Raw genomic sequence first — 12,048 nt, 5'->3', positions numbered from 1 at the left:
ACGCCTGTAATCCCAGCACTTTGGGAGGCCAAGGTGGGCAGATCACGAGGTCAGGAGATCGAGACCATCCTGGCTAACACAGTGAAACCCCTTCTCTACTAAAAATACAAAAAAATTAGCTGGGTGTGGTGGCAGGTGCCTGTAGTCCCAGCTACTCGGGAGGCTGAGGCAGGAGAATGGTGTGAACCTGGGAGGCGGAGGTTGCAGTGACCCGAGATCGCGCCACTGCACTCCAGCCTGGGCGACAGAGACTCCGTCTCAAAAAAAAAAAAAAAAAAGCTGGGCGCAGTGGCTTACGCCTGTAATCCCAGCATTTTGGGAGGCCGCGGCGGGCGGATCACGAGGTCAGGAGATCGAGACCATACTGGCTAACACAGTGAAACCCTGTCTCTACTAAAAAATACAAAAAATTAGCCGGGCGTGGCAGTGGGTGCCTGTAGTCCCAGCTACTCGGGAGGCTGAGGCAGGAGAATGGCATGAACCCAGGAGGCGGAGGTTGCAGTGAGCTGAGGTCGCGCCACTGCACTCCAGCCTGGGAGACAGAGCGAGACGCCGTCTCAAAAAAAAAAAAAAGACGTAATGCCACTGGGAAAGGACTGTAAAGAAGACAATTAAAAATCAACAAGTGCCCAGCTGTTTATAATAGCCTACAAAGTGATTCAAAGACAATTTGTTACCTTACCTCTCTACCATTACAAAGTGACCAAAATTAAATGCAACCATCCTTTTAACAGGGTCTTTCACAGAGCGTAAGTTTTCATTTTGGTAAAGTCCAATTTATCAATTTTTTAATAAGTAATGCATTTGGTGTTATGTCTAAAAGTTATTCACCAAACCTAAGGTTCTGCAGATTTTCTCCTGTTTTATTCTAAAAGTTTTATTTTATGATAAAATCTATGATCCATTTTGAGTTACTTTTTGTATAAGGTATGAGATCAAGGTTCATCTTAAATTGTGGTTAAGAGGATGAAAAGGCAAGTTACAGATTAGGAGAAAATATTTGCAAATACCTATCTTACAAAGGGTTCAGATTTAAAACATATAAAGAGCTTTTGGCTGGGCACGGTGGCTCACGCCTATGATCTCAACACTTGGGGAGGCCAAGGTGGGCAGATCACCTGAGGCCAGGAGATTGAGACCAGCCTGGCCAACATGGCGAAACCCCATCTTTACTAAAAATACACACAAAAAATTAGCTGGGCGCGGTGGCACACGCCTGTAATCTGAGCTACTTGGGAGGCAGAGGCCCGAGAATCTCTTGAGCCTGGGAGGCAGAGGTTGCAGTGAGCTGAGATCACACCACTGCACTCCAGCCCGGATGACAGAGCAAAACTCTCTCAAAAAATAAGATAAGCCGGCGCGGTGGCTCACACCTGTAATCCCAGCACTTTGGGAGGCCAAGATGGGCAGACTGCCTGAGGTCAGGAGTTTGAGACCAGTCTGACTAACATGGTGAAACCCCATCTCTACTAAAAATACAAAAATTAGCCAGGCATGGTGGTGGGCATCTGTAATCCCAGCTACCTGGGAGGCTGAGAGAGGAGAATCGCTTGAACCTGGGAGGCAGAGGCTGCAGTAAGTTGAGACCAGGCCATTGCACTCCAGCCTTGCCAACAAGAGCGAAACACATATCAAAAATAAAATAAAATAAAAATAAAACCTATAAAGAGCTTTTAAAACACCACAGTAAAGAAGCAAACACTCCAATTAGAAAGTGGGCAAAAGGACATGAAGAAATATTTCACCAAAGAGAAAACATGGATGGCAAATAAGCGAAGATTTTCAGGCCAGGTGCAGTGGCTCACACCTGTAATCCCAACACTTTGAAAGGCTGAGCTGGGAGTATGGCTTACACTTAGGAGTTCCAGACCAGCCTGAGAAACATGGTGAAACCCCGTCTACATGGCCAGGCATGGTGGCACACACCTGTAGTCCCAGCTACTTGGAAGGCTGAGGCAGAAGGATTGCTTGAGCCCAGGAGACAGAGGTTGCAGTGAACTGAGATCACGCCATAGCACTCCAGCCTAGGTGACAGTGCAAGACTGTCTCAAAAGGATAAATAAGCCTGTAATCCCAGCACTCTGGGAGGCCGAGAAGGGTGAATCATGAGGTCAGGAGATTGAGACTATCCTGGCTAACACAGTGAAACTCCGTCTCTACTAAAAATATAAAAAATTAGCCAGGTGTGGTGGCGGGCACCTGTAGTCCCAGCTACTGAGGAGGCTGAAGCAGGAGAATGGTGTGAACCCAGGAGGCGGAGCTTGCAGTGAGCTGAGATCACACCACTGCACTCCTGCCTGGGCAACAGAGGGAGACTCCGTCTCAAAAAAAAAAAAAAAAAAAAGGATAAATAAATAATAAAAATATTCTCAACATTATTAATCATTAGGGAAATGCAAATTAAGACCATGATGAGATATTACTACACATCTACTAAAACAGCTAAAATAAAAATAATAACAGTATCAAATGGCAGTGAGGATACAGAGAAACAATGTCTCATATATTACTGGTAGAAATGTAAAATAGTACAGCCACTCTGGAAAAGTTTGTCAGTTTATTTTAAAATTAAACATGCATTTACCATCTGATCCTGCAATTGCACTCCTGGGCATTTAGCTCAGAGATATGAAAAGTTATGTCCTTACAAACCTGTACATGATTGTTCATACTACGTTATAATAGCCAAAAACTAGAAGCAACCAAAACGCCCAACAGGTAAATGGTTAAACGAGCTGTGGTACATCCACACCATGAAATACTACTTAACAATAAAAAGGAACTACTGCTACATACAACAATATGGATAGATCTCAAAAGCATTATACTGAGTGACAAAAAACAACCTCAAAAAGTCACATACTGTATGATTCCATTCATATGACATTATAGAAAATGACAACATTATAGAGATGGAGAACAGATTATGGTTGCCAGGGGTTAGGGATACCTGTTGCGGGGAGAGGCTGGGTAGGTGGGACTATAAAGAGGGAATATGAGGGAGATCTTTGCGGTGACGGAATAGTTCTGTATCTTGACAGTGGTGGTAATGGTAACACAAATAAACATGTGATAAAATGATACAGAAACAGATACATACTTATACCAAGATCAATTTCCTTGTTTTGATACTATAATGTAACTATATAAGATGTAACCTATGAGGGAAACTGGGTGAAGTGTACACAGGGACCTGTCTGTACTATCTTTGCAACTTCCTGTGAATCTATAATTATTTCAAAATAAATGTTTTTAAAAATGCAATCAACATAATTCAAAAGTATAGAAAACATTGCAGAAATTTATGAATTTGTTGAAAAGGGTGATGTTGTAATGTTAAATGCAAACCAAAGAGGGATGGGGTGGTCATAGTGCAGTCTAGAAACAGGGCTGGAGAGTTTGTCCAACCCTCCAAAATAGATAGTTCAATCAAACATTTACTGAGTACCTAGGATTTGCAAGACAAAGTGTTACTTCTGAATTAATTTACTCTCTAATACGACAAGATAGAGTATTATTAAAGACCTCTGCAAAAGCAGTTCCCTTTGCCTTGTATGCTCTTCTTCTGTCACTTTTTCTAGTTAGTTCTTACTTATCCTTGAACTTTCAGCTCAGCATCACTTCTTCAGGGAAACCTTCCCTAGTTCTTCCTATTGCCCTCCATATTAGATCAGTTTCCTCTATGACATGTTTTGAACAGCACCCTATATACTTCATTCATAATACTAATCACCATTCACAAACTGTGTGATTATTTGATATCTATTTTTCCCACTAGGCTAACATTTCCAAAAGGACAGAGGTCTGTGTAGCTTACGGCTGTATTCCCAAACTCAACACCATGCTTGCCTAGCAAATGGCAGAAGCTCAAAGTAGATGTACAGAATATATATATACAAAGTTAAAATTCATATGTACAAATGAGTAAGAAGAATAAGATTTACTGGAGTTTGGAAGAATTCTGTATCACTCTAACCTGAGAAAGCCGGTTTATACAGGATAGCAGGTTCATGTAGAAGATAAAGAATCTCGGCCGGGTGCAGTGGCTCACACCTGTAATCCCAGCACTTTGGGAGGCCAAGGTGGGTGGATCACTTGAGGTCAGGAGTTTGAGACCAGCCTGGCCAACATGGTGAGACTCTGTCTCTACTAAAAATACAAAAAAATTAGCCAGGCATGGTAGTGGATGCCTGTAATCCCAGCTACTCAGGAGACTGAGGCAGGAGAATCGCTTGAACCCCGGAGGCGGTGGTTGCAGTGAGTCGAGATTGCGCCACTGCACTCCAGTCTGGGCAACAAGAGCAAAACTCCATCTCAAAAAAAAAAAAAAAAAAAAAAGATAAGAAAATAAAGAATCTCAACTCTGAAGCTGAATATAAACTTGGGCCTTTGGGCAAAACAAATTCAATCAAGAAAAGAAACCGAGGAGCGGCTGTAGGAAGAGTTCTTTAGGAAAATTTAAGTAGACATGGACTTGCACTGAGAGTGTAAGACATTAAAGACAGTAAAAATAATTAAAAGGACGCTGTGGTAGTGCAGGCACAAAACAACAAAGTCCTGAATGAGGGTGGTCATGGGAAGAGAAAGATATAAGAAACACTAAGAATAAAGAAGCAACAGAGCTTAACAACTGGTAGATACAGGGGGATGAAAGGAGGAAGAATCAGAGATTATTCAGGAGGTTTAACAGTTACTTATCAGTGAAAGATAACACCATTAACAGAAATTGGGAACTCATAACTAATTCCCCTTAGGAGAAGGAATGTGCTTTATTGGAAGCGATGGGTGTCATCCACACAATTTAAGATGTAAGACTAGATGTAGAAGAAAGTCAAGGTTGGCAATGCAGATGTGTGAACTGATCAGTTAAGGGTACAGGAAAATCAATGAGATTTCCCAAGGAGAAGGTATAAAGAGACTCAAATGGAAATCCTTTAAAACAACTTGAATGCCTCCTTGCTGAAATTATGTTTATCAAATTATAGCGTCACCCAGACTATGAGCTCCTGAAACGCATTTCTGATCTCATCCTTGCATTCTCTAACGTATACAATACAGAGCTTGTACGTAACTGGTACATTGTAGCTTATTAAAGGAATCAACCATTCAAGATAATTTCTGATGAATGTTTCCTGTTCTAGTTTGCATTTCAAAACATGGTGCTCTGGGTAGTACTTTGAAAGGTACAGGTTTCACTTTAAATTAGTAAAATCAGTGAATTGAAACATTTTAAATCATTTATCCAAAAGCTCCTACTTCCCCAAGGCTCTAGGAGTGAAGATCTGATAGACCAGACTTTGGGACTACGGAAATCCTTTTTTTTTAATTAAAGAAAAAAAAAAGCCCCTAATGAGACTAGGGCTAAAGGCAAATCCTAAATAGAAGTATTAATAGAAAATACTCTTCAAGAAGTTTTTGAATAAAATAAGCAGAAAATATTATTTACCAAGGAAGTGAAACAAATGAAAACTTTCAATCATATGCATTATACAAGTTGACAACATCCAAAAAGTAAACTTCAGGTGAACTGAAGGATAAATGAAATCTAAATGAATAATTAAAGGAGAACTGAGAACAGCCAAGACACATACTATTTTTTTTTAACATAATGAGGTAAAAGTCATTGGCCTGCACTCCCACAGAATATTCCTGGGTATTACAGTCAGTGATGGAGTAACAGGCTAATCTGATCTAATACTTAGGTAAACAGTATTTCCTTAGTTGCAGTTTAAAAATAAGAAAAAATGACTGCTAAAATGGATCAGGGGAAAAATCTGTTGACAGCCTCACAAAATTATTATTGTATTGACAACTTAAGCCTTTTCAAGGTTGAGGTCTGCCACACTGCTCTAACCCTGAATCATAAGCAAATGTCCTAGGTGTTTTCAGATAGGTGAGTTTGTTTGTGGGACAAGTCAGAGAAGAGAAAAGAAACCGGTTGTAGTTACAAGACTCTAGGAACCCGACAAGTCATTTATAATCCAACTACCCTCTCAGTATCAGACTGGCTTCCACAAGTCTAAAAGATGGTCAATCAGTATTTGCCTGCTTGTTTCCAACAATAGCAAATGAACCATTGGTAAACTGACCATTCTCAGAGTCGGACAGCTCGAATTTGTTGCAAAATCCTTCGAAGTTATCTCCCAGTAACTTTCATTCCTGGTCCTGGTTCAAGAGCAACATAGTGAAAGGTGAAAGTCGTCTTTTTCTTTAAAAAAACTTTTTTTAAAAAAAAAAAAAACAGGTTTTACTTCCTGGCATGTCAATACGTTCCCTTCTTTCAACAATGGGGAAATAAATCTCACCCCCTTTTCCCCCCTTCAATGTTTGACTCCCCTTAAAGAAAAACGGAATACCAGGCACAGGGAACATAGAGTTCCTCTGACTCAGAGCCGCGACCTCTGAGCAGAGCGGAGGAAAGGGGCTTAAAAAACCACACACACTAGGAAGAGTTGCAGCTGATACGAATCACCATTGCCAAAAAGCAAACTGCTTCAGCCGGTGCCCAGGTGCTGGGACGCGATAGAAGCCGCACAGACTTGGCCTGGCAGCTCTGAGGAAATGGGGGCCAAGGAGCCTGCACCTCTTCTTGCCAAAGCCCGGGAGAGCTGAGTGGGCGCTCGTTCTCAGGCCGGCTGCAAGCCCGGCGCTTCACAAGGCAGAGCGTTCGGCCCCCGGGAAGCGGCATCGCTAAAAGGAAGGCTCAGTGAAACGCTTGGCAAAGTCCAAGCCGCGCCGCCCAGCCAGTTGTCTATAAGCCCAGCCACCCCGCCTGCCAGACGCCATCCTGGGAACCCGCACCGGCGGGAGCTCCCGGAGTTGGAAACGTCTTTGGCTCGGCCGCGGTCCCCTCTGCCCGTCTATCCCGCCTCTCCACCCTCGCTCACTCCCTGGCCCGAGACTGAGCCGGGGTCCACCCCAGGGGGTGGTGCCCAGGAGGCACACCACGCTTGGGGGAATGGTGGAGACCGGGATGAGGCTTCCTGGAGGGCGGGCGGGCGGCCGCGGCGGGTCACTCACCGAAAGGACGCTCATGCGGATTGGGGTCTCCAACAAGCACGCCATCTTGAGCCTTCCCACCCGGCTGCTGCAGGCGCCGGCGCGGGGGCCGGCACTTTCGACAGCCAACTATTGGCCAACGCTAGGCACCGCTCCCTAAAGGCAGCCAGATAGACGAGAACTGGCCACGCTCTGGACACCGCTCAAGTACCGGAAAGGCCCGCAGAAAGAAGGGCAAAAGGGAATGGCGTCAGGGGCTGTCCTACGAATCGTTCTCTCAGAAACAGCAGCTACTCTGAGCCTGGGTTAGAGGTGGAAGCGGGCAGCGGTTTCCGCATGCGCAAAGAAGATCTGCCGGCCCCACCTGCCGCTCGCGGTGGGCGGGGCCCCAGAGGCGGAGTCTCGCCCTGACGCTACGAGTTTTACGGACTGATAAATTGCAGTTTATGGATTCCAGTATTCATATTTGGAAAAAGTAGTACGTGGAGCCACATACATAGTTTGAAGTTCACTTTCATATTCATTCTCTCTCTCTGCACCAAACTCCCGGCGTCGTTATCTCCATTTTATAGGTGGGGAAATTGCGATCCCAGAACCTTTGCCAACCGTAAGAGTGATTGTTTCACGATCCGATACAGATACGTGACTTGCCTTAGCGTTGTGTGCCGGCCCCGTTTATTCTGGTGTAGTGTTAAGAATAGCCAGAATGCTTGGGTTTCTTCCTAGCTACTTGATTTATCAGCTGCTTTACCCTGGGCAAGTTATCTAACCTTCTGTTTGAGTTTCCTCATCTATAAAATAAAGGTTAATGAGGATAGAGGAGTCAACAAACGTGAAGCTCTCAGAAAAAACCTAGAACATAGAAAGCGTTATACAATATGTGTTAACATTTCTCCAGCTTCTGAGTTAAGTGGGGAAAATGGGGGCAAATATCTAAATATTTCGCACTAAAACACTCTCATAACCGAAGCTAAATAAAAGTATGCTTTCAATTATACTTGATTAATTCAGCTGTCCTACTACTTTGTGTGTGTGTGTGTGTGTGTGTGCAACACTGCCCTTGACTTGGTTGGATAAGTTTCACCTTCGTACTGCTTGCAACCAGTAAGGTTTTCACAGTATGGTTGCAATTGGCCTGTTAACATTACTTGTATTCCTTCCATTTCTATAGCCACACCCTAATTCAGGCTCTTGTAACCTCTCCCCTGGACTACAGCAATAGCCTTCCAACTGGTCTTGTAGCTGGTAGCCTCTCCCGCACTCTGCTCCTCACTGTTTTCCTGTCTTCCTCCTGTACTTGGTTTCCAAATTTAGTGTAGCATTTACCACCCCTGCTTATGGGTCTGTGTTCCTTAACAAACTGTTGAATTCCTGGAAGGCAGGAATTTTATTTTAGGTAGTCCTTCTGCTATAATACTATTTCTGAAACTTGGGTAATCTGTACACCACCTACACAATCTTTGCCAATCTGCACCTAGGTATTATTATTCATTCAATATTTTTATTTAAAGCCAATTTCAACTCATTAAAAATTTTTGGCTTTATCCTAAACCATAATACTCTGTGAAATCAAGTTTGTTGTGCTCCTTATTTTTATTCTAGTACACATTAACTACAAAAAGTTTAAATGTCCATCCATGGACCACCTAAAATCACATCATGTACTGCATACTGCAATGGGGCAGAACATAACCCTAATACATAGTATATAGAGTCATTATAACTGTATTTGATCCACACTCCATCCATTAGCTCAAGCAATACATCCTCCAGGAATTGTCTCCCCCAGGCATGGGTTAGATACCCTTTCCCCCATGCCTTCATACTTCACTTTAATTGTAGGGTGGTTTTGTTGTTGTTAATTGTTTCCGTGTTTGTCTCACTATACACTTCAAGACAGGCACTGGGAGTTTTATCTTCTAGGTTGTCTATCTCAGTGCCTAGCACAGTCACTTAGTAAATGTTTGTTGTACGAATTTTTGGCTTAGTTTGAGCCTGGGACGAAGATTTGGGTGCATTTTGTTTATTTAGTAAGTGCTTTCAGGGAACAAAATTGATAGGTCAGGGAGAGTGAAAAAAGAAAGAATAAATATTCAAGATAATTGTCCATTATTGATGCCACTGTTTATTCCTCAATCACCTCTGAAAACATACAGAATACCTCTCTGGATTGTCCATCTTGAAGCTACAGCATTCATCCACCAATACCATATGTATTGGTTGAGGATTTCCCTAGGGCTATTAACTCCCTGCCCTCCTGGATTATATTTGTGCCCAGAACAGAACGGGCTTCTTTAACCTGATACAAAAAAGCAGAGTCTGCAGGTTTCATCTTAGGGTGGGATATAGGCAGCATAAATCTGAGCTTGCACAGAACTGTCACTGCTGCTGTGGCTGAAATCCGAGCGGGGAGGAGCTAGAAATGTGACTCAAGACATCTCACACCTCTGTCTGTTACCCAGGCTTTCCTGTTTTATATCCAGAAGACTGACATAGACATTTTACAGGAAGAAAGCATTGAATAGCCAACTCCTAAGCTTGGAGATCAGGAATCTTGCTCCCAGTTCAAATTTTGCTGATAAATAACTTTAGGTACACTCTTAAGTAATGAGTAGAAATTGGAAGATAAAAGGAATTTTTGATTCAGCCTGCATGTGACGATAACAAAACAGTTAAGCATGGGCGCGGTGGCTCACACCTGTAATCACAACACTTTGGGAGGCTGAGGCTGATGGATCACCTGAGTTCAGGAGTTCAAGACCAGCCTGCCCAATATGGCGAAACCCCATCTCTACTAAAAATACAAAAATTAGCCTTGCATAGTGGCATGCACTTGTAGTTCCAGCTACTCGGGAGGCCGAGACAGGAGAATTGCTTGAACCCGGGAAGTGGAGGTTGCAGAAAAAAACAAAAACAGTTAAATTTGGCACTGTGGTGAGGAGAGGAAAATATCCATGCTGACTACTCTGCAAACAGAAATGAAACTTCTCCCTGTCGTTCCATGGCTCTTAGAGCAGTATTAATTTCTGTAAAAAAAAAAAAAAAGACAACAAAGTGTGAGTTTAATGAAGAAAAAAAATGAAATGCAAAACAAGAAGTAGCCAGAAAAAAATCTGAAAAATCTTTATAAATATCTTTGTGGAACTGCCTAAGATGAGAAACAAAGCCAGAGAGAAATGTATCTATACAAAAATAGGAAAGTTTAAAGTGTGGGGAGATAGGTATAATCCAAAACCTGAATGGTCCCAAAAGAAATTTAGAAGAATCTTTAAAAAGACTTGAAAACGGGCTGGGCACGGTGGCTCACACCTGTAATCCCAGCACTTTGGGAGGCCGAGGTGGGTGGATCACCTGAGGCCGGGAGTTCGAGACCAGCCTGACCAACATGGAGAAATCCCGTCTCTACTAAAAATACAAAAAAATTAGCTGGGCATGGTGGCGGATGCCTGTAATCCCAGCTACTCGGGAGGCTGAGGCAGGAGAATCGCCTGAACCCGGGAGGCGGAGGTTGTGGTGAGCCAAGATCGCGCCATTGCACTCCAGCCTGGGCAACAAGTGCGAAACTCGGTCTCAAAAAAAAAAAAAAAAAAAAAAAGGAAAACAGATGAAATACTTTAAATAAAAAAGAAAATGGACTAACAACAGTATAGAGGAGATACAATGCAGTTCAACAGACACTAACTACAGGTTTTCTTGTGAATGCACTGAACTAGAGTTTTGAAGTGGAACAAAGACATGGTTCTTTCCCTCAGCAGACAGGAATAAAAGTGAGACTGTGAGGCTGGGCGCAGTGGCTCACGCCGGTAATCCCAGCACTTTGGGAGGCCGAGGTGGGTGGATTACCTGAGGTCAGGCATTTGAGACAAGCCTGACCAATATGGTGAAACCCCGTCGATACTAAAAATAGAAAAATTAACTAGGCGTGGTGGCACCTGCCTGCAATCCCAGCTACTCGGGAGGCTGAAACAGGAGAACTGCTTGAACCTGGGAGTGGAAGTTGCAGTAAGCTGAGATCGCACCACTGCACTCCAGCCTGGGTGACAGAGCAAGACACTGTCTCAAACAAAAAACAAAAAAAAAACAATGAGACTGTGAGAGGTTCAATAATTTGCTTAAGGTTGCTTGGGGAGTAAGAGGCTGAATCAATTTTGGTACAGGTTTCTCTGGTTCCAAAGTTCTTTCCAGAGCTCCTACAGTCCTCTGGGACTTAATAGGACTTTCCCAGATGAGACTACCGAATGTTCATCTAAGCAACCAACCTATAAAGGAAAGTCCACAAGGGCTTTTGCGGTGGGAAATAATGCATCAATAATTCATCAGGTCCACAGAGGGTGTGAAATGTATATGCCTGGCCAGGCGCAGTGGCTCATGTCTGTAGTCCCAGCACTTTGGGAGGCGGAGATGGGCTGACTTGAGCTGAGCTCAGGAGTTCAAGACCAGCCTGGGCAACATGGCAAAATCCCTTTGCTACCAAAAAAAAAAAACCAAAGCAAGAATTAGCCAGGCATGGTGCCTTGAGCTTGTGGTCCCAGCTGCTTGGGAGGCCAAGGTGGGAGGATGGCTTGAGCCCAGAAGGCAGGGGTTGCAGTGAGCTGAAATGGTGGCACTGCACTCCAGCCTGGGTGACAGAGTGAAACCATGTCTCAGAATAAAAACTAAAAAGAAAATAAAAGAAATATGTGTATGGCTAAAATAGAAGTAGTGAGATGTTTACAAAGTTTTAAAATTAGAAACCACAGTAAAAAAGAAAATACTCATTTAAAAATTGAATTACTGCTATGGTAGAATTCCAACTTACAAATGTAGAAGAAATGATAGAATTAGAAAATCAGGCTGGGTGCAGTAGCTCACACCTGTAATCTCAGCACTTTGGGAGACCAAGGCGGGTGCACTTGAGACCAGGAGTTTGAGACCAGCCTGGTCAACATGGCAAAAACCTGCCTCTACTAAAAATACAAAAATTAGCTGGGCATGGTGGCGCACAGCTGTAATCCCAGCTATGTGGGGGCTGAGGCACCAGAATCACCTGAACCCAGGAGGCAGAGTTTG

General features: G+C 43.3%; 1 protein-coding gene across 15 annotated transcripts in view; it reads right to left on the bottom strand.

Annotated features, from left to right (window-relative positions):
* Positions 1-7,372, bottom strand: part of ARMC8 (armadillo repeat containing 8) — a 111,142-nt gene extending 103,770 nt beyond the window's left edge. For 5 of the 15 annotated variants that reach the window (NM_001267041.2, XM_006713566.5, XM_047447900.1 and 2 more), the window contains exon 1: positions 7,021-7,372. In NM_001267041.2, coding sequence (NP_001253970.1) covers positions 7,021-7,065 — 45 coding nt within the window. In that variant the 5' untranslated portion in view covers positions 7,066-7,372. Of the gene's footprint in view, positions 1-6,089; positions 6,220-7,020 lie in introns of all 15 variants that reach the window. The other 10 variants (XM_024453441.2, XM_011512632.2, NM_014154.4 and 7 more) reach the window with 6 other exon arrangements.
* Between the last annotated feature and the right edge of the window lie 4,676 nt (positions 7,373-12,048).

This window comes from Homo sapiens, chromosome 3, assembly GCF_000001405.40.
Source record: "Homo sapiens chromosome 3, GRCh38.p14 Primary Assembly".
Taxonomy (NCBI): Eukaryota; Metazoa; Chordata; class Mammalia; order Primates; family Hominidae; genus Homo; species Homo sapiens.
This window is presented reverse-complemented; position numbering and strand designations above follow the sequence as displayed.